The sequence below is a fragment of the Homo sapiens genome, chromosome 2 (genome assembly GCF_000001405.40).
Source record: "Homo sapiens chromosome 2, GRCh38.p14 Primary Assembly".
Classification (NCBI taxonomy): Eukaryota; Metazoa; Chordata; class Mammalia; order Primates; family Hominidae; genus Homo; species Homo sapiens.
Genome location: NC_000002.12, coordinates 197,151,903 through 197,175,533, shown reverse-complemented (window position 1 = coordinate 197,175,533; position 23,631 = coordinate 197,151,903). Strand labels below are relative to the sequence as shown.

General features: G+C 41.7%; 1 protein-coding gene across 20 annotated transcripts in view, besides 1 other annotated feature; it reads left to right on the top strand.

The window, feature by feature from the left end:
* Nucleotides 1-23,631, top strand: part of ANKRD44 (ankyrin repeat domain 44) — a 343,767-nt gene that overhangs the window by 135,247 nt on the left and 184,889 nt on the right. The gene's annotated exons all lie outside the window — the stretch shown is intronic.
* Nucleotides 22,764-22,873: an enhancer, noted in NCBI's record as "active region_16917". NCBI's record gives its function as "activates an Ori minimal core promoter by ATAC-STARR-seq in GM12878 lymphoblastoid cells {active_cell/tissue: GM12878}" and the evidence as "EXISTENCE:reporter gene assay evidence [ECO:0000049][PMID:35858748]".

The window sequence follows — 23,631 nt, the reverse complement described above, 5'->3', positions numbered from 1 at the left end:
CTCTTCAGCTCAGTGGTACCGACACTGTGTGTTTTTCCCTCCAGCATCTGTCTTTTGTCATCAGTGCTTCATGTTGATTTATACCTTGCATCCTCACTTGCTTTTCATATATGCCTTTTCTCCTACTGAAAACACACATGCAGGATTGACTCTTCATCTTCTGACCTTGTCTCTTTCAAGCAGGGGACACTCCATGTTTGAGCAGGCATGCGTTTTATTTGGGAAGCAAAGATGGACAGATAGGCAAACAAGCATGCATAACCTAATGGTTGGGAAGTATTGCCCATTACCGGCTTTTCTCAGGAAGTCCCAATATGTAAGAACACTTAAAGAAATAGGACCTCCAGTCACAGGCTCAAGATATTTCATTTGGAAAAGATCCAGAGATGTCTGACATCCTGCCTCCTCATCTTTCAGTAATAGACAGTGCGTTTAAAAAAATCTTTTTTTATTATGAAAATTTTCAAACTTTCAAAAAACAACAAGAGCCCACCACTAAGAATAAATGTTAACACTTTGCCATATTTACTTTAAAAGAACCATCATAAAATTTTATAGACTTAAAGGTTTGTTCCATATGTAAACATAGACTCACACCCTTGTGTCATTCATGTTTTTGCATGAATGCCTCCTTATCTGGGACACCTCCCCTGATCTTCCCATGTAAAATAGCAACCCTTAATCAACCTCTAACTTCTCCTTCCTAGCACTTCTCACCACCTGACATATGTAGTGAATTTATTTGTTTGTCTTCTGTCTTTCTCCACTAACTGTTCAGCTCCATGAGCTCATCATGGCTTTGCTTATGGTTGAGTCACCTGCACCTACAGTGGTGCCAGCACTGGCTAGGAACGCATGAACAGAGCTGAAGCCTCTTTTAATCTCCCTGACACATCACCTCCCTCCCCGCCTCTCTCCCCAGGGGGAACCACTGTCCTGAAGTTTTATCCTTGTCTTTATATACTCTAATTTTATCAATACCTTTATGTGCACATATATACATAAATGCTAGAACAATAAACAGTGTTGTGTATCTTTAAAAACGTTACATATGTGAACAGTTTGTATGGTCTGTAACTTGCTTTTTCTCACTCAACATTATATGTTCCAGATTCATCTATGTGGATACATGAGCATTTACTTCATATATTTCATATTCCTATGATATTCCTTGTAGGCTTTTATCACAGTGGATCCATTCTTAGTTACAGCTTTTTAATCATGGCTCTATCAACCTCCTTTTGTCCTAGGCTCTCTGATTCTGACCTGTGCTAACGATTGTACAAATAATAAACATGAGTTAGAAAAAATGATTAAGATGGTAAATTTTATGTTATGTGTATTTTACCACCATTAAAAAAATTTAAAAACTTATTAAGTCATATACCTTAGAAAAATGGGATAGCAAGAGAACCATGTAAGAATTTTCATAAGGACTGTACTGTTTGTAAAAATAACACCATTGTAAGTTGTTTGTTTGTTTATTTATTTATTTATTTTTGAGACTAAGTCTCACTCTGTCACCCAGGCTGGAGTGCAGTAGCGCAATCTCAGCTCACTGCAACCTCTGCCTCCTGAGTTCAAGTGATTCTCCTGCCTCAGCCTCCCGAGTAGCTGAGATTACAGACATGTGCTACCATGCCCGGCTAATTTTTGTATTGTTAGTAGAGATGGGGTTTCACCATGTTGGCCAGGCTGGTCTTGAACTCCTGACCTCAGGTGATCCACCCACCTCGGCTTCCCAAAGTGTTTGGATTACAGGTGTGAGCCACCACACCCGGGCTGTAAGTTGTATTTTTAGGGAATGAATTTTACTTGGCACCATTGAATCCATTTAATTATAAAAATCTCTTTTTCAAGGACTTTTGACTTTGTTCTCGGTACCTTAAAAATAGATTTCCCTCAGAAATGATACATTTCAATATATAGGTCTCCCATATTAGAAAACCTTGATAGTTTTTCTCTCAAGCAGGGAAACTAGAGAACAAATGTGTCAAGGTGCCCTAAAGTAATATTCAGAACTTGGCTTTTGACAAGATTCTAAATGTCAGGGAAGTCTGTTTTTGCTATAACATGACAACTCGACTTCAAATATAGGTACAGAATTACTGCAGTGCCTGGGTTTTCTTTAGGACACATTTAAATATCCTCTTTGTGAGCTTCCTATTAAAAGAATACTTGCTAGAGGACAAAGTTTTATTTAGAAAGGGTTTTGAATATTTTGTGATATAATTGTAGGTGTCACTGAAAAAGTTAAGGAAGATTTTACCACCCATAATTTTGAATAATGACTTAGTAGTCTAGGGCTCAGTGTGAAACTTTTCTAGAAAGATCACATGATTGATCCTGTTTTGCATTTTGCTTATAGAAATTGTTGGGGCTGTACTATGAATATCTTGTTTCTAAAGATACAGTCAGACTTTAGCCATTTAACAATTTCAAAACAGGTCTTTTTAATGCAAACTAATAAATTTGGTTAGCATATTTCCTCAAACTTTATTAAACTTGAGTATGGAAAAACAATTTTAAAACATATAGGGCAGACAGCTAAATTATCTATTTAACCTTGGCTGTTTCACTTCTATTCAATCAGCAGACAGTTATTGAGCATCTACCGTGTTCCTGGTGCTGTGCTAGGGGTTGGGACTATAAGATGAATAGGACAGTTGGTCAGGTGTGGTGGCTCAAGCCTGTAATCCCAACAGTTTGGGAGGCCAAGGTGGGCGGATCACTTGAGCTGAGGAGTGTGAAACCAGCCTAAGCAACATGGTGAAACCCTGTCTCTACTAAAAATACAAAAAATTAGCTGGGTGTGGTCGTGGGCACCTGTAACCCCAGTTACTTGGGAGGCTGAGGCATAAGAATTGCTTGACCTTGGGAGATGGAGGTTGTGACTGCACCCCAGCCTGGGCGACAGAGTGAGATTCTGTCTCAAACAAACAAAATAAGATGAATAGGACAGGGTTCCTGCCCTGCTGGATCATACAATCAGGTGAGTGAGACAGACATGTAAGCCAAGATCACAGAGGAAACGTCAGTACTGCAATAGAGGTAGAAATGTTCCATCACTGCACGTTCCTGGTGTAGCCAGGGCTCTTACAGCACTAGACTCCTACACTCAACAGTGTCAGGAAGTACATGGGTAGGGGGATTTGGTGGTGGCGGGAGAGCTTTTCAGCTTACCTACCACCTTTATCAACCACTTTCTTCAAGCTATTAAGAATAATAATGGGGCCGGGCGTGGTGGCTCACACCTGTAATCCCAACACTTTGGGAGGCCAAGTTGGGTGGATCACTTGAGGTCAGGAGTTCTAGACCAGCCTGGCCAATATGGTGAAGCCCCCCTCTCTACTAAAAATGCAAAAGTTAGTCGAGTGTGGTGGTGGGCACCTGTAATCCCAGCTATTTGGAAGGCTGAGGCAGGAGAATTACTTGACGCTGGGAGGTGGAGGTTGCAGTGAGCCAAGATCATGCCACTGCACTCCAGCCTGGGAGACAAGAGTGAGACATTATCTCAAAAAAAAAAAAAAAAAAGAAGAAAAATAACGGACATGGTAATAATAATGGGAGTAATTTTTGACTTAGGCAATTGTTTTCTCCATCTTATACTAAATATGACTTAAAACATCTTTTGAAACCTTTTAATTGAATTTCTAAAAGAAGGCTTAAAGTTTTTATAGCAGTTTTAGGTTCACAGCAAAATTAAGCAGAGTTAAGAGACTTCCCCTATACCACCTGCCCCTACACATGGTTGGCTTCCTCCCGCTATTAACATCCCACCCAAGAGTGGCACATTTGTTACAATCGATGAACATCATCATGACAAACCGACACTTGACGATCACCCAAAGTCCATAGTTTACATGAGAATTCTGTCTTGGTGTTGTACAGTCTGTGGGTTTTGACAAGTGCATATCTTACATCCACCATTATAATATCATACAGAATAGTTTCACTGATCTAAAAATCCCTTTTGTTCTCCCTAATCATCCTTCCTTCTCCTGTTTCACTGAATTTTAAATTTCATTTTATTTAATTTTCTCATATAACCTAAGTAAGAACAGCCTGCCAGAAATGTAAAAGTAGTTCCAGTTAGACTGTCACTCCAAAGCCCTCCCAAACAGACATTCTAGCATAACCACTGACTATATTAGCTCCTTTGATCATCTGTCCCTCTACTTGAGAGCTGCTGTGTTTAGCACAACTGCCCAAAGTTTATGTCAGGGTCTGTGGCATTAGATCCTGCAGTTTCAAATCTTGTTGATCGCCAGCTTCCTTCTCCCATCACTCTTTGGCCACTATCATCTTCAAAGAAAACTCGGAAGTTCCTGAACAGATTCACCTCTGTACTCCTAAGGGCTGGGGGTCTTCTGTGGTTCAGATGTCTGATTATAATAGAAACAGACCTGTTTGCTTTTAGAGAAGCAAATGTTTTCTGTGTTCAACTGAGCTTGTAAAATTTCATTAAGAAACTAATCATTAGCCCTGATTAAACAAACGCTGGATGCTTGGCATGAATATTTTAACTTCCTATTTCTAAGCTGCCTCAGCCTTCTCAAGTACTGATTGTCAGCTGGGACCAATAATTTACCTGCACAGTTTGCCACTCCATCATCAGGGAATCTCCACCACCCCCGGCCCCATCAACTAGGGGAGAAAACTAAGGCTCTTCCAGTGCCCCAAACATGAAGCCGCTTCTCTGATGCTCATTAAAGAAACTTTCACAATTTAAATAGAGAATCTCACTGCTGCCTACTCTAATACAGGAAAGAGACTCTAAACTCTGCATCTCATTTTAATTCAACTTGAAATTGCCACCAGTTTCTACCCTTCCATATTTGCCTTCATGAACATTTCAGACTTTAACAAAAATCTGATCTTTTTACTGATATTAAAAAGACATATGAAAATGTGTTTAGCATTAAGCATTTATTTTCAAGTCTAAGAAAGATAAAGATGCACAAAGCTTAAAGAAGTTGCTGCCAGTGACTCAGTCATTATTAATATTGCTCTAGGCACAATGAATTGGAATGGTGTTAGAAAGATTTTCTCTAGGGAAGACTACATTATGACAGCATTTTCCAAAGTGTGTTTCTCAGAGTCCAGAACAAGTCTGACAAGTGTTTAGGAGGGAAAGAAAGGGAGTTTTGTGGCCAAGTAAACTTGGGAAGCACTTCTACCACAAATTTCCTTGTATTTTAGTGATTTACAAGGTAACTGTCATATTAAAGGTTCTGAGAATTCCTGCCATAAGGGAATCTGTTTAACTTTCTTGAACACCGTGTTTCTCAATGTCATTTGGCTTTGAATGCCTCCCAGTTTTTTTTTTTTTTTTTTTTTTTTGGAAACAGGGTCTTGTTCTATCGCCCAGGCTGGAGTGCAGTGGAATAATCATGGCTCACTGCAGCCTCAACTTCCTCGGTTCCTACAAACCTCTCACCTCAGCCCCCCAGGTAGCTGGGACTACAGGCACACACCACCATGCCCAGCTAATTTTTGTATTTTTTGTAGAGATGGGGTTTTGCCATGTTGCCCAGGCTAGTCTTGAACTCCTGGACTCAAGAGATCCATCAGCCATGGCCTGCCAAAGTGCTTGGATTACAGGCATGAACCACGTACCTGGCCTCCTCCCTCTTTTTTTTAAAAAATTTTTAACAGCTGGGATGATCCCTCAGAGCCAGTGGAATATACCTCGAGACATACTGCTCTAGAATTAGAGTCTCTGGAATAGTCTGTGGCAGTGGTTCTCTAACTTGAGTGTGTATCAGAATCCTGGAAGGCTTGTTAAAATACAGATTGATGGGCTTTACCCTCAGAGCTTCTGATTTGGGAGGTCCAGGGTGGGGCCTGAGAATCTGCATTTCTAGTAAGTTCCGGTGATGCTGATGCTGCTGGTTGGGGACTGCACTTTGAGAACCATTGGTCCGTGGTCAACTGGGAGGAAAACAGATGTTCTGGAGGTGGGAGTGGAGTAGGGTATCACAATCCACTGCTACATAGTATGCAAGTAAATTTATTCACTCAACATATACTGACAGAATCTGCTATGTGTCAGGCACCATGACAGGTGCTGGGGTTGTATTAGTGGTGGACACAGGCCTGGTCCTTGCATCAGGAGTTTACAGTGTATTGGAGAGAAAGGAAGTAAACAGGTAAAGGAAATGAATGAATAGGTACTTATAAACTGAGAAGACTGCTATGAAGAAAGCCAAGTGTGCTATGATACTAACAAAAGGTAGTTAGGAAAGGTCTCTTGAGGTGGCAGTGACATTTAAGCTGAGACTGGCCATGAGAAATTGGGGGCCATGAGAAGATTGGGGGGAATGTTTCAGGCTGGATAAAGACAGGAGCAAAGGCCCCAAGGAGGGTTAGGGGAGAGAGTGCAACTTCCCAGAAGAAAATTAAGGCCAGTGTGGCTGAAGGAGAGTGAAGGAGGGGGAAGGTGGTAGAAAAGGAAGTTGGAGAGGAGACAAGAAAGGGGCCGGTCATCAGAGCTGAGCGAGGAGTTTGGATTCCACTTAGGTGCACAATGTTCTGGAGAATATTTTGGAAAGTCACTCTGGGTGTTGTGTGAATTACAGATTGTGACAGGGAGAGTAGAAGCTGTGAGAGCAGCAGGAAGACCATAGTTGGGGTCAGGGCAGAAATGATGTGCCTGAAGTAGGGTGTTTGCAGTGGCCATGACGCCATGTACTCATGAGCTCTAGGGGGCGCCACTCACATGGATTACGGTACTTCTAACCTCTACATGGGGAGAGCTGCAGATTGCTTCCAAGTGTGTCATGAAGGTAGACCACTCAGGATTTGATGATGGATTCAATGTGAGGGGCAAGGAAGAGAGAGCATCTAAAAATGAGTCCTGAGTTCCCAGCCTGAGCAATAGGGAGAAGAAGGGGAAGAGCTAGAGGAGGAGAAGGAGCAATTCATTTCTGAGAGAGGAGACAGAACTAAAGAGTTGCTTCGCAGGGGACAGCAAAGTGACAATTGCCACCATTATTCTGCACATGTAGTAATTGGCTGTTTGCTGGTACACAAAGGAAATGATGATGGGGTTTAATAAATCTTGTTGTTAGAGTCCCCTGTATATTTTAATAATCAATGACTGCCTGGTTACCCTGAGTTTGAAAATAAATAAGGCCATTTAACACTAAACATAATGTTGTCTTTCTATAATAATTCAGAGAGCACTTCAGAATCTCACAGAGACTTTTACTATTGCAGTATAAAAACCACCCCAAAGTTTAGTGGCATAAAACAGCCAATTGATGATGCTCATGGATTTTGTGGGTTAAGAATTCCAACAGGCACAGTGGGATAGCTTTTCTCTGTTCTGTGGAAAGACTTGTCAGCTGGGGTGACTTGACAGATGGGGGCTGGAATCATCTAGAGGTGACTTCACTCACATGTCCGGTGGCTGATGCTGGCTGTCAGCCTGAACACTTCTATGTGGCCTTTCCATGTGGCCAGGGCTTCAGTTCAGCAAGGCAGCCACAAGGTTGTTGAACTTGTGACAGGGCGGCTCAAGGCTCCAAAGACAAGTCATTTTTGCAAAACTCTTGAATCTCTGAATTATATGTTACAGGTAGCTAAATTCATGTTCTGCCCAATAGAATGCTAGATAAAAAGAGATGGCTCTGCTCAACATGCTGCCTCTGGGATAGTCTCACTCTTAGGGAAGAAGAGTATGGTAAAGGGGAAAATCTGCATGTTTTGCATGAAACCAGATGACAAAGATCATCACTTTGGCTGGAAGACAGTCATGCAGTTAACAAGTATTTTTTCAGTTTCTTCCACATGCCCAGCCACGGGAGGTGAAGCAACCAAGTATAGTTCATGCTTATTAGAGAATGTTTGTAAATTAAGACATAGAAGAATGGTCTTGAACTATTTAAAAACATCACCTGGATGTAGATTTCCCAAAACCCCTGCTCTTAGATGCATTCTGGTGGGCTTCATTGACAAAGTAACAATACACAGTATTTTCTTTAACTGTAGAAATTATTCTTGATTTGGGTTCTGGGAAGTCTTCGATGATTGGAAGATACCCATCTAAGATAGATGGTCTAGCTCTTAGATAAGATCCTTGATGTAAGGTATGTAGATTCCAAAAAGGGGAATATAGGCATCTTAGGAAGTGTGCCAGATGATCCACTGGGGGCAATGAAATATCTACTTCAATCTGTTTTTAAAAAATTAAAATGTATATTTTATGTGTATCTTATTGCATATTAAATATGATAATATAGTGGCATGTATATGAAGTTTATGAAAGAATAAAAATGTATGTGTTCAAAAAGACTTTTTTTTTTTCTTTTGGCTGATTGGTGGCAGGCGCTGCTGAAAGGCAAATGTCTTATTTCTACCTTATAGCTAATGCTTTTCAAACTTTGATGTGCATACACATCACCTGAGGAGGCTTGATTTTTCTCAGCACAGTGCAAGAGTGACTGGAATTTGGGAAAATGATTCACACAGTATAAACTCAGACTGATTTATAAACAAAAATACCACATATATTAATTTCTATTAGCTTAAAAACTAGACCTGTCACTTATGATGTTATGCTTTTATTCTTGGACAAAGTAATTTCTCTCAGGACACTATATATCACATAAGAATTGACTTGATTTATCTTGAAAAGAAAATATTTGGTTCCTAAATGGTATTTGCAAGAAGTCAATATAGCCTAGCGATAGGTTATTCTAGGATACAGCATAGAATAGTGGCTAAGAGTGTGAGCATTGGTGGCCAGAGTGCCTGGTTCCAAGTGTGGCTCTGCTGTCTACCAGCTGTTATATGACCTTGGGTTAGGTAATTAATCTCTCCGTGCCTCTATTTCCTCATCTGTAAAATGGGGATATCCCATTCTGAGCATAATCCATGAAAAATGCTTATAGCAGGTTCTGGCATATGTTTAAAACAATCATTGTCAGTGATTCTTCTTCTCTGTTCTAGGAATATTTCTTTCTAAAGAATTTACTTTTTGTCTAGAATCAGCAAACTTTAAATTCTGTAGCCATATCCTTATCACATAACATCCTCTTTTCAATATTCCTCGCTTTCATTTGGTGCCTTTGTCATTTAAGTATCTTAAGTGCTTATAGAACAGGGATCCTTACTCATTCATCTTTGTATCCCTAGAACCTATCACAATGCTTGGCTCTCAAAAGCTGCCCATAACAGTTTATGGCATTACATGTCCTTCAGAGCACGTCTTTGGATTGCAGTTTATTGGGTCCAAATTGTGTTGCTTTTGGCCAAAGGCATAAGCATACTTAGAAAGAAAAGTACAGATCCTGCTTGCCAACTCAAAAGCTTTCAGAATCCAGGAGGCAGTGCCATTGTGTAAAGAAGGTGTTAGGGAGTGGTGGGGGTTGTACTGAACTGGACCATTCATACCCCAATAAAGATATTCCACTTTAGATTTTACAAACCTCTGTAACAGTCAAGCAAAATCTGCAGGCAGATTTAGGGTTCAACTTTTAAGCTTTGGTATAGATTAAAACAGGATATTGGAACTTACAAAGTTATGTTTGTTCCCTCTACTAAAGTATGAACTTAAGGCAAGAACAGTGTCATGTCTTTTTGTCTAAACTTGCCTGGAATCTCTATGTTCATTGTAAAAATTATTAGAAAATCCTTCTGTTCATGTCATAAAATGAGTCAAATCATTTACATTATCACTATATAAATGATTTTGAACTAAAAGAAGTCCAAGTTTAAAAGCTATCACGTACCAATAGATGCTCATAGTTACTATTAAACATTTCTTTCATTGCTTAGGTCTTAGGGTAAATGGTTCCTGATGCTATATATGCCAGCATCATATCTCATCAGTAATGCTTCCACAAATTGTATTTTATGGTGTTTGCTCCCAGGAAAACTCCAGCAGTTGACTAACTTATCCATCATCTTCTAGACATGGAACAGCATTTTCTGAGCATCTCTAGTGCTGAGTGCCTCTTACATTTGGCCTTCTGGTTCCCAATCACTATTCCTAGCTGCTTACAGGTACTTGATCACAGGTAACCTGAGATCAGAGACACTTCTTGTGACCCACTCACTGTGGTCGTGCTCACTCGACCTTTCTGTCACCCCAGAAATTACAAGTGGCTGTGCCAAGGATTAGATTTTGTTCACTAAAGATGAAGGCTTGTCCGGTCAGCTCCTCTGTCAGGTGACACCTCCCACGGAGTCTGGCACGTTCCATTTTGTTCCTCTGATCCTGAGCATCTCCAGTCATGGGACCTGTTAGAGAGCATGTTTACCTGGCCCTTGGACATATTCTCCTTCCTCTTGTTCCGATGGTGCCATCTTGTTTACTCTGGAATTTGCTCAGTCTTTCGAATTCAGCCAGCCAGCCAGAAGGGGCGTGTTGAGGAAAGGGTGAAAACATGGGTTAAATCCTAACCGGCAACATTTGCTGAGTGCTAACCATGTGATAGGAACTGTGCCAAATGCTTTCTAAGCATCATTTCATTCCATCTCACACATCTTCAGGAGGTAGGGAGAATGATTCTATTAGCCCCATTTTACAGACAAATAAACAGTAGTTTAGAGGAGGATCTAGTAACTTGCCTAAGGTTATATGGCTCCAAGTGGCAGGGGGCAGGGTTTGAACCCAGTTCTTCCGCCTCCAGGGCCCACTAGGATGTACTGCCATCCTCAGAGATGGCTAAAAACCAAGGTAGAATAAACTAAATGGAAAAAAAAAACCCTCAAAACCCAGGGAACACAGAGGAAGGGACAACTACTTCTGAGAGGCATTGCTGGGAATGCATGGAGGAGGCTGAGGGTTGGGCTGCAGAAGATGAGGAGGCGGCAGGCCCAAATGAGCGGAGGCCTGGTGGCGAGAAAGCGGACGTCCGGGGCAGGAGGGGCCAGCGACCTGAGGTCCGGGGCAGGGGTTGGGGCGCGGGAACCCCGCAGCAGCAGGGGAGGGGGCTCACCGCGCATGCTCCCGGCTCCGAGCGGCCGCGAAGCCGGCCTTTGTTTCTTTCCCACCCAGGAGCCGCTGCGGTGGGGGAAGGGCTCTTCTGAGCGCTGCTCTTCAGCTGGGGGAAGGGTGCGACCTGCCCGACCCCACAGTGTGGCCGCCCCCAGAGAACAGAGGGGCGCCTCAGAGGGAAAGGTCTTCCGCTACCAGGCCCCGCCAGGGAACTCCAGGGACCCCGCAGCTGCGCCTCCCGCCCCTCCCCACACCTTTGACCTTGTGCTGCCAGAGAGGGGTCAAGAACCGCAGGCACCAAGGGGTCTTGCTACCCAGACGCAGCCGGCGGTGTCAGAGGCCAGGCCTCCCGGGACCCGAGGAATGTAGAAAGCCCCCACTCAGCCAGGTGGGAATAAAGGAGCCTCGCTCCCCGGGAATGGAACTTCCCCACCAACTCTGGTTCTAGCCCAGCGACAGGGCTGGACCAGGACTGGGCCTGCAGCACACCGCAGCCTCTTAGGAAAGTCCATCCTTCTGGGAAATTCTTGAGGGATTGAGAAGAGTAAGGACTCCACGTGACCCGGCTTCCTTTTCTTTTTGTACTTTCTGAAGCACTCGGATGGATCCACTCCCCCACTGTAATCTCTTAAACCCTCACCTTTTAAGAAATAGTGGTGGCCGGGCGCGGAGCTTCATGCCTGTAATTCTAGCACTTTGGAGGGCCGAGGCGGGCGGATTACCTGAAGTCAGGAGTTCCAGGCTAGCCTGCCCAGCATGGTGAAAACCCGTCTGTACTGAATATACAAAAATTAGCTGGACGTGGTGTCGTGCGCTTGTAGTCCCAGCTACTCGGGAGCCTGAGGTAGGAGAATCGCTTGAACCCAGGAGGTGGAGGTTGCAGTGAGCCACTGCACTCCAGCCTGGTGTTAACCTTCTGCTCCCCAGTCCTCCCTCCCAGCACTGGGCCTGCCCTGGCCTGTTAAAGATCACCAGCCCACTTCTTCCACTTTCCATGACTGTTCCAACATCTAGATTTCCTACGCCTGGAAATGTTCCACACCAGTAGTTTCATTCTAATGGGAGCCTCTAATTTTTTCATGCGCATGTTGGGGCTAGCCAGAGACTACTAAGTAAATGTCCCACATCTTTAAAAAACTCAGTGCTGGTTTCCTATTCAACAAGCCACTTGGCCTCCCAGGAACTGGCACTGTGGGACTGGTTGTGGACATAGTGTCACTCTCTAAGGATTATTGCAGGTTGAGGTCTCACAGAAACCAGAACTGCACAGCAGGCAGCCCTCATAGGAGGGGACACAGGTGAGCATCGTTGCTGTGGAATGCTAACCCAGCCTCATAGCTTCTAGGTACCACCTTAGCAAGCCTGTTTTTCTCACCCACTGGGTAAGTCAGGTTCAAGTCATGGCTCTAATTTAGAACAACAGAATTGATAGGAAGCCTGAAGGGCTGAGGGTTCTGAGATGGTCAAACAGCTTTGAAACAAGGCCAAGCCCTGCCTGTGATGGACTGAGGTGGTTGCTATCTTCACTCAAGGTTAGGGATAGATGAGAACCACAAAAAAAACCAAGCCATTGATTCCATCCAGACCCTAGTAGACAACCGGTTCTCTGTCTCACCACAGAAACCTGCAGGCCGCCCTCATATAGGCAGACCCTTTTCTTATTGTGGCATAGGCTTTGATAAAAAGTTTAAGATGCATTAAGACTTCTTTCTATTCCTGCAAGACATATATTGAGCACTGACTGTATGCCAGATGTGTTGTTAGGTTGATACAGAGATGAATAAGACTGTTTCTGCCCTGTACCCATAGCCCAGTTAGGGGCAGGCAGAAAAAGGAAAGCAGGCAGTTAGATGTGATGGTACTGTCCAGAAGCCTATAGCATGGAGGAGGGGATGCAGGGTGGAGAACCAGAAGAGGTTTCAGAGGAAAGGACACTTGAGCTCAGTGTGAAAAGACTTTCGAGTGACCCAAAAATCTTAAATTAGAGGCTCCCTGTTTTGTGGCTTTAAAATAAAACATTGTCCTTATGTCTAATGTCCTTGGTTCTCAAGAGGGAGTTGTTTTGTGCCGTATTTCAAAGCATCACACTTCTACATTTCCGTCTGAGACTCGCCTTTTGGACAGGAATGCACCACTGCCAGCAGTCTTGGCTTTGGTGGGAAGAAGGTAGAAGGAGCTCATCAGGTTCATAGAGGAGGAAATACCAATTCTTAGAAATAAAACGGTTCATAAGAGGTAGACCAAAGGTCATAGAGCTCTGTTGGCTTTGTTCAGTGGCATTCAGGGAATGAAGCCTCAATGTCTTGTCACATTTAGGGTGGGAAGAGAAAATCATGTTGGAACAGCTGTGCTTAAAACATAAGCATATCATCTTGGGGGTGAAGTTGGGGAGTGATCTAAGATTAGCATTGACTTGAGGACTATAGAGAGGAAAATGCCACATACCAGAACACACTGTGGGCTAAGGCATTTAGCCAGATGGATCACGAATAGTAATGGGGTCTTCTGGGGATTTCAAGACTGAGTATGAAGCACGCCAGTGACTAGGGGCTGGTGGAAAGAAGGTAGGTGATAGAGGAGCAGACCCTCCAAGTCACGAGACCGTAGCATGGTGTGAGCTAACTTTCCCTATCTAGAGGAAGTGGAAGTCTGATGTGCTAGAGAGATATGCCTGGATCTGTTCCATCTTGAGGTCAGATTGCCCAGAGAGAGACACAAAGATTTCCAATCTAGAGTAGACATGAGGTGATGCCCCAGGATCCTCAGCTGATTGAACCCCGTGTCCTCTAGTCATTATTTTATAATTCAATGGAAAAAATAATCAGTTTTTCACAATTTGATATGTAGACCACTTTCAGAAATACATATGGTAAGCAAGATACATTTAAATTAAAAATTATTCACTTCCATGAACACATAAACACAACAGAGAAAAGATAGTAATTGCAAGCAAGCAAACCATCCAAATATATATTAGTGTTTAATCCATCCATGGAATGCAATATCCCTGTGTCCTCTCTGGTGTTGAGTATATGAGTATTTGAGATTTTTGTAGGAGAAGACTCTATTCTTGCATTCTTGATTCTCTCAGAGGCAAGGTTTTTCAAGTGTGGATTCTAGGGCCTCTTAGCCCATGTGAAAAAATACTAGTTAGTCCTGAAATACAAAGCAATTTAAAGTTGCTTTAAACTTTAAATTTTTCCCTTTAAAAGGGAAAAACACCCCCTACAGCCCAAGTTTATGAAGGCTAAATGCATCCCTAGTGACCGTTTTTTTGCTGGGTGTGCTCAAGTATGTGTAGGTTTATTTGACATTGCCCTGGAGGTAGAGATGCATCTCCCATATGCCTTATCTTCGAAAAGTGCTGTTACGTAGCCATCTCCCAATTCTGGGAGCACTCGTGTCAATCTGTAATGAAGGGGCTTCGAAGCCTGCCATTTTGAGGTCTAGCCTCACTAAGCAGAATACTCCATTAGGAATCTTTGTAGTGTGTTCGGTTTTCTGTCCCACTGGCTCAATTTAGAAAGGGCATAGAAGAATACTTCCTTTTTTTTGTTGATACAGAAAGCGACCCCCTGGTTATCTGCCTGAGGACCTGTAATGAGTCTGTGGTGGATTTACTTCTAATTAAGTTACTAAGAAGGGGCTTCTATTGATAACATAGGAGTCTTGGCCTGCAGAATTTTCCTGACAAGTGTCAGAAAGATTTGGTGAGGATGTTCTGGCTTGGGGTTGACTTATTTGAAGGTTTTCAGCTTTGGGTGAGGAGAGAAAGGGTACAACATCCAAACCCCCAGGGAAGCTCCCATCTGTCCAGTTTTAACCAGATCTGACTCTGCTCAGATATTGAGACTGGATGGGAAAGGAGGCCTTCAGGGCAGCAGGGATATATTCTGAGCAGGGAGTGAGAGTCGCTGATATATAGGTGTTTTAGGGGATTCTACCAGGGGAAGAGACTGCTGCAGGTCCTATGAGATTAAGGATAAAGAATGGAAGGCCCGACTCTAGAGTATGAGAGAGGCTTCAGTTACCTTTGGGTTGGGATAGGACAGGCTACAATGGCCAGGATACAAGATGCAATGGTTGACTACTTCATGGAGGGGAGAGGAGGCAGGCAAGCACTGCTATTGGCTGGCTGTGGGCAGAGTAAATGCTTCTACTTGTAAACAAATATAACTTCTTGCCAGTAAACTTGTTCCCCCCAGGATCTGTCTGCATCTCCTTATTTTCCTCTATAGTCATCAAGGAGAACTAAAAAAATTGGGATAAGCCACAGAGATGTCATTGATAATAGTAGTAAGAGGAGCTAATATTTATTGGACATCTAATCTGTGCCTGCATGTAGGTAATCCTATTTTTCATTTTAGAATGAAAAAGAAAAATGAGTAATCAGGTTGATTTATTTACTCAAAGTCACACAGCTCATACGTGGCAGAGGAGGGATTCAAAGTTGGGTCATTCTGACTCCAGAGTTTGTTTTTTTATAATGAAAGTGCATGCGTATGTGTGTGCGTGTGCATGTGTGTATGTGTGTGTGTGTGTCTATCATATAGGCCACCTGATAAGAAAGATTAGATAAGAAAGGAAGATTTGGGTAGAACCAAAGGCCTCCAAAATGCTGTGAGGAGGATGAAGCAGGTTCTTTCTTAGAGAGGAATTCTTAATGGTTAGTTAATGCCTTACCTAGTGGTGTTGAGAGAGCAGCGGATGTGGAGTCAGGAAATCCAGGGTCACCAAATATTGGTGTGTGACTTTGGGTGAGTCACTTAACTCTGAGTCAACCTTAATTCCTGTCCTGTAAAATGAGGACAATAATACATACTTGATCAGTCTGTCTGGATTTTCTTAAGAATCAGCTGATGCACTGTATAGAACAGTACTTGGCAACTTTATGAATCATTAGACAAATTACAATTTTGCCATGTTTAATCATAAATGTAATGTTTTGTCGTTTTCAAAGAAACACACTCACATATCAATTATTCAGAACCTACTACAAGGTATTGAAGTCTTTGGACAGGAAATAATGTCCAGTGCTTTACTATTTGTGATTACTTAAGAAAAGCTTTTGCTAGAGCAGACCTGTATTTTTTTAATAGGAAAGTCTTTTATTATTTACAAGAGGAATTTTATTTTCTTGTTTGTAAACTGCAAGTCTTGAAACACAGTCAAACAAAGTAGAAAGTGAGGAATGCCCATAAAATTATTCACCCAGAGATAATTAGTGTTAACATCTTAGTGTCTTGTGCTGATCTGATATCTTCGGCCAGAAAACTGCATTGTTGATTTTTATTGTGAGTATTACACATAAGCTCTGTTTCTAAAATATCCACCTGGAGGTTGAAAAAAACTTGGAAAGAACTACTAATCATTTCTGTTAAAATGGTTTTCTGTGGACCACAGAAACTGTTCTATATATAAGCTTTTGCTTTTAATTCCAGGGAGTGGAAAGGAAGAAGGGGGAACCCCATAGCTAGGAGTTATTGTTATATCCAGAGCAGATGCCTTTGAGCATCTCCTTTCATTGCACAGTTTCTTTCTGTTTAACTTTTTCTAATACCGTGTGTATGTGTGTGTATGTGTGTGTGTGTGTGTGTGTGTTTGTTTGCTCTTTGCTGATGGGTGTGTTTAATCTAGCATTAGTCTACTGTAATAGAATGTCCCCTGCCTGGAGTCAAGAAAGCAAGATTCTTTCAGGCGTCATAAAGGCAGGGACCCTGTCCCTTGAAGGCTGCTGCATCTTCAGGTCTGAGCACGGTGCTTGGCGTATGGTGGATCCCCAGTAAATGTTTTTGTCTATTGTATGAATGAAAGATTCCACCATTGCCATCAAGAGCTGTGTGACCTTCAGCCAATCGATTAAACTCTCCGGATGTCTCTGATGCCCTTCCAGGTTAAGTTTAAATATTTTGTAATTCTAGCTTCCTCTCCTGTGATTTTGATCCTGACACTGTGTGTTCATTTATCTGATGACAAACTTTCACCATTGCTAGCCCCTTACAGTGGTGAAAAACTAGCAGCTGCCTTCTTTTTACCCTTTCATCAATAGGAGATAGTTTCCCAGATGATTATGTTATTCTTTTAGTTATCTGCCTCTCATTAATCTATGTTTGTTTAATAAATTGGTTAATGAATTAATTAAAAGAGACAGTGAGCCTGTGGTGGGGCCGTAACTGAAACTAGACTTCTCGCCTCACTGGTTAGAGCAGTTCCAATCTGTGGGTTTCCTTAAATACACTTAGCAGTAAAACATTCCCACCATGTGTTCAAGAACGGAATGGAAAACTTTTCAACAAATGCGTTAAGTTTAAAGACACTCCTTCTTAATATGCTTGGGGTCATGCATAGAACAATTGTGAACTTTATTAGCTTTTAGGCTGTCGGGGAAGGTGGTACTCCGAAGACCTGCTTCGGTTTTCATCAGAAGCTCCTGATGATTATCTTGGCAGTGGGTGGTTGTATATTCCTGTTTCGCTGGCACCAAAGCACAGCGTCTTGGCCAGTTTTTCATTCTGTGGGACTTAAGGACCAGAACCCTTTCCCATGTTCTGTTTCCACTGGCTCTCAAGAAATATTCCTGGCCAAGTGATATCAGGGCCTTACAAATAGTTGGTACTTTATCAACTTTCCCCAGCAGAGACCCTTTAAAAGGGCTTCTGTCACTTGGGAATGTCTGGGCACAGTGGTAAGATCCCAAGGGTTCTATGTCAATCCAGTGCTGCCATGTTGCAGTGTATTCAAAGGTTAGGCATAAACCATTTACCTTCCCACTTGTACTTAATTTTCTAGATTTATTTTCTACATCCTTACTCAGTACACATTTGTCAAAGGTTTCATTTAGGAAACAAAATAACCTAAGAGATTTTGAAGAGGAATCTTGGTTGTACCTTTTTTTTTTTTTTTTTTTTTTGACAGAGTCTCACTCTGTCGGCCAGGCTGGAGTGCAGTGGCACGATCTCAGCTCACTGCAACCTCTGCCTCTTGGGCTCAAGCAATTCTCCTGCCTCAGCCTCCTGAGTAGCTGGGATTACAGGTGTGTGCCACCACGCCAGGCTAGTTTTTTTTGTATTTTTAGTAGAGAGGGAGTTTCACCATGTTGGCCAGGCTGGTCTCGAACTCCTGACCTCAGGTGATCCACCTACCTTGGCCTCCCAAAATGCTGGGATTACAGGCGTGAGCCACTGCGCCTGGCTGGTTGTGCCTATTTTTAAAGCCTGTAGATTTTAAGCCAACAGGCCATTCTTTTGTAAGAACTTCACTTTTACATCCACACATAACCAGGGCATAACATGAGCTGCCTCTAAATTAACCCACTATTGGTTAATTCGATTTTGCTATTTCTTTTCTTCTATTAACTGAATAAATTTTGTTGCTTAGGGGTATTTTTAACTTTTAAATATGCCTTTTTTTACTTTACGTAAGAGTGAGAATGTGTTTTATTTGCCTGCTTATGTATTTATGAAACCGCTTAATTGAAATATAATTGACATACAATAAACTACCCATATTTAAAGTGTACAGTTTGCGAAGTTTTGACATATGAAACCATTACCATGATTGAGATAATGAACATATACAGTGCTCCAAAAGCTTCCTTGTTCCCCTTTCAAATCCCTCCCTGCTACCCCTCCCAGTCTCTCCCTTAGGCCCGTCAGGCAACTGCTGATCTGCTTTCTGTCACTGTGTATTAGTTTGCATTTTCTAGAATTTTATGTACGTGGATTTATACAATATGTACTTTTTTTTTGCCCGACTTGTTTCACTCACACAATTATTTTGATTCATCCATGTTGTGACATATATCCATAGTTCATTCCTTTTAATTGCTGAGTAGTGTTCCATTATGTGGAAATAAGTTTGTCCATTCATCTTTTGATGGAAACTTGGATTACTTCTAGTTTTTGGTATTACAAATAAAGCTGTTAGGAATACTCATGTGCAAGTCTCTGTATGGACATATGCTTTCATTTCTTTCCAGTAAATACCCAAGGGTACGATACCTAGCTTATATGGTAGTTGTATGTTTAAGTTTTTAAGAAATTGCCAAACTGTTTTTCAAAGTGACTATATCATTTCCCACTCCTACTAGCAGTGCCTGAATGTTATAGTTCCTCCACATCTTCACCAACACTTGGTATCATTAGTCCTTTTAATTTTAGCAATTTTAATAAGTATGTAATATGGCTTTAATTTGCCTTTCTCTAATGACTAATGACGGTGGGCACTGTTTTTTTTTTTTTGAGACGGAGTCTCGCTCTGTCGCCCAGGATGGAGTGCAGTGGTGCAATCTCCACTCGCTGCAAGCTCCGCCTCCCGGGTTCACTCCATTCTCCTGCCTCAGCCTCCTGAGTAGCTGGGACTACAGGTGCCTGACACCACGCCCGGCTAATTTTTTGTATTTTTGGTAGAGACGGGGTTTCACCATGTTAGCCAGGATGATCTTGATCTCCTGACCTCGTGATCCGCCCGCCTTGGCCTCCCAAAGTGATGGGATTACAGGTGTGAGCCACCACGCCCGGCCCGGTGAGCATTGTTTTATATGCTTATTTGCTATCTGTATATCTTTGGTGAAATATCTGTTCAAATCTTTTGCCTACTTTTTAATTGGATTGTTTGCTTTCATAGTTATTGAGAGTTGTTTTGTAGGTTCTAGATAGAAGTCCTTTATCCAATATATGCTTTACAAATATGTTCCCCCAGTCTGTGGCTTATCTTCATTCTCTTACCAGTGTGTTTCAAAGAGTGGACATTATTCATTTTGATAAAATTCCATTTACCAATTTATCCTTTTATGGGTTTTGCTCTGATGTCATATCTAAGAAATCTTTGCTTAACCCAAGGTGAAAAGATCTTGCCTATGTTTCCTTTAGATATTTTATAATTTTAAGTTTTACATTTAGTTCTGTGATCCATTTTGATTTAATTTTTGTTTAGGGTTCAAGGTATGGCCCAAAGTTTAATATCTCATTGTTCTAGGACCATTTGTTGACAAGGCTATTCTTTCACCAGAGTTTTCTTTGCACCAATACCATATTGTTTTGATTACTGTAACTTTATAATAAGCTCTGAAATCAGGTAATGTTAGTTCTCCAATTTTATTCTTCTTGCCTGCTTGTACTTTTTTACATACAAGCCTTTTGCCCTTGGGTCTAGAGTATTTAGGGCAAGCATGCTAATTATAATGGAGAATAACTTTCATTGTATTTACCAAGGCTTGTAACCATCCAAAAGCCAGCAAGAGCGTGAACAATGGAATCAGATCTGGTTTTGAATCTTGGTTTTACCACTTACTAGCTTTGTGACTCTGGACAAGTTACTCATCACCTCAAAATCTCAGGTTCCTCAACAGTGAAATGGGGATGCTCATATTTACTTCACAGTATTGTTTTAAGGATCAAATTTGAAAATATAAACTCTCTGATACAAGTTTTGCTCAATATACATTATTTGATTTTTAGAAATTAGTGCAATAAAATATCCAGTGTCTAGTTATGTAAGGGAGATAAAATAAAAATGTCTTTGGCATTCTTATTTTTCTTATTTTATCATCATTTTAATTCTTGTGCGTGATTCTTCGTTTCAGGAGTTAGATATCATATTGAGAGTATAACATAATTTGAACATGTTTAGAGATAGAAAATATATCTATATTTTCTATATGAGAAATATATATCCATGTTACATTCAAATGAATGGGTTACAATACCAGCAGAGTGTGATGGTTGAATACAATTGTGTGGTGGTGGGAGCATGTTGGGACAGAGATTTGCTGTCACCTTTGAGGCATGGGAGGCTCCACACAAGGAAAATTCAGCTTTATGAGACAATGCATGCATTAGGGATGAATAAGGACTGTAAATCTAAATTTTTCTCTTATGGTAACTTGGGGAAAACATTGATTCATTTCTGTTGTGTCTAGGTGAATACATAACTTGAATTTTCATTGAAAGTTGAATTAAACAATATAAAAAACTCCACACACAAGGAAAAGACTAATAACCAAATTTAACAATAGGTAAAGATACATATAGGCAGTTCGCAGTTGAAAAAACCAGAATGTACCATGTCAGGCATAACATACTGGCAAGGAGTAAGAAAGCCGATAGTGGCCGGGCGCGGTGGCTCACGCCTGTAATCCCAGCACTTTGGGAGGCCGAGGCGGGCGGATCACGAGGTCAGGAGATCGAGACCATCCTGGCTAACATGGTGAAACCCCGTCTCTACTAAAAATACAAAAAATTAGCCGGGCGTGGTAGCGGGCGCCTGTAGTCCCAGCTACTTGGGAGGCTGAGGCAGGAGAATGGCGTGAACCCGGGAGGCGGAGCTTGCAGTGAGCCGAGATCGCGCCACTGCACTCCAGCCTGGGCGACAGAGCGAGACTCCGTCTCAAAAAAAAAAAAAAAAAAAAAAAGAAAGCCGATAGCATCAGATATTGGCGAGGATGTTAGGAAAAGGAACTAAAATGTAACTGGTGGGAGTGTAAATTAGTAAAACTATTAATACTTTGGAAGTTATTTAGGGATACCTAATACAATTGAATGTGTGTGTGTACCCTAATCCAGTGCTTCCTTTTTTGGGTATCTACTTCAGAGAAATTCTCACATGTATGCACAGACAGACATGTACAAAGGTGTACACTGCAACACCATTTTTAATAGTGGTTTGAAGAATTAAAAACAACCTAATCCCTTTCCTCCTTCCCACTTTCTCTCTCTCTCTCCCTTCCCCACCTTTCTCTCTTATACACACAAACACACACATGCAAACACATACTTCAAATTATTTTCAGAACCATTTGCATTTCTGAAGATGGCACTTTTATCCCTAAAAGTATTTTTTTAAACTAGAGTTCTGAAGGAGACATAGAAAAATGTTAACATGTTTGTTTTTGCTGGTGGGCACATATGGGACTATTACTTTCTGTATTTCTGTGTATTTATGAGATGTTAAAAATTGAAAGTAAACATGAAAAATTTCAAAAGAAGCATGGCATTTGTTTTCTGTCTTTCTCTTTCCTTTCTTCTTTAACCTTCTTTTAATTCCCCACCTTAAGGCCAAGCATTCTTCCCATTTTGTGTCGTTTGGCTCCTGTCCTCATGTAATTTGAAATACTTCCGAGGTACCTGTTGTGTGTATGTGTTCAGAGTTTCTTTAGACATCTTCTTGCCTCTAGTGATCTCTGTTCAATATCACATTAAGGTAGTTGGGCCTAGGTTGTCAGTTATCTCCCAGCTTCTTTAATTTTAGTGGGAATTTGGAAGTTTGGATTGATAATTGGAACCCTCCTCCTCCTCCTCCTTCTTCCTCTTCCTCTTCTTCCTCTTCTTCTTGTTTCTTCTTTTTTTTTTTTTTTTTTTTTTGGCAGGGTCTTGCTCTGTCACCCAGAGCAAGATGGTGCAGTGGAGTGCAATGGTGTGATCACAGTTCACTGCAGCCTTGACCTCTTGACCTTCTGGGCTCAAGCAATCCTCCCACCTCAGCCTCCCAAGTATCTGGGACCACAGGCACATGCTACCACGCCCAGCTGATTTAAAAAAATTACTTTTAATAGAGACGAGGTCTCCTGGTCTCAATTTCCTGGGCTTAAGCCATCCATCTGCCTCAGCCTCCCGAAGTGCAGGGATTGCATGCATGAGCCACCACGTCCGGCCCAAACTTAACTTCTGTATTTCATAGGCTTGTTTTCTTAATATTGCTCCATCTTTCTGTCTTGGTATGTAAGATATTCATATACAGGGTGGAATGTTTGTTTTGGTGTATGACAGTTACTTAGAATGCAGATTAGATCATGTACTTCTAGCTGAGAATTTCCAAAGCATGTAACAATTCTTAATCTTCAAAACAGGCGTAGGGTGCCCCTCAGTCTGCCTGTCTACACAGTATTTTTAGCTACCAGAATGGCCTCTCTGCCCATGTCAAACTCACTTTGCATGTACCTACTTCAAGTTCCCTATTTTCTTTTATCTGCTTCTTCTTTGGTAAACAGACAGCTCAACTTCCTCTGCCTGATCTCTCTGAGACATACTGCAAATTTAGCTCAGACCCCTGCTGGCTGTGTGTATCTTTGGCTATTCGTAGAATGGGAGGGTTTACCATCCTTCCTTCTGGAGGAACCTGGGTCTTCTCATTTCTCATGCATCTGAATCTGTCTGCAAAGGACTATGTGGAATTAGAGCTACTGGGTGATGAAAAAAGACCTTCCTTTTTGTGATGTTTGGACAATCTTTAAAAACTATGCTGATGAGCCATTTCAGTGTGTGTTAATCTTGCTGCACCTGCTTTTGGGTTATTTTCCCCACTTATATTCATGGGTGTTATAAAAGCCTATGTAACTATTCAACTATTGGTCATCACAGAGAGTCCACTTGGGCAAAAGATGGAAATGAATGCAAATAATGCACTTAGCTCGGCCACTATAGGTTAATGCTGCTCTGGTCCTGTCCTGGTACTGGATTCCAATTTTGATCCAGGAACTACCCCTGAGCCAGCCTGTAAGATAGAGGCTAGGCTCACTAACTGACCCAGAAGGCTGGCCCTTGAGGGCTTCCAAGATTCCCAGATAAGCTGGAGCCAATAGGACCTTTAGGGAGTCCTGGGCAAGATGTGTTTAATTCCCAATTCAGAAGAGATTTTTTTTTTTCTTGGCAGTTGAGACTTACTGCACAGGCCAGTTCGGATATGGA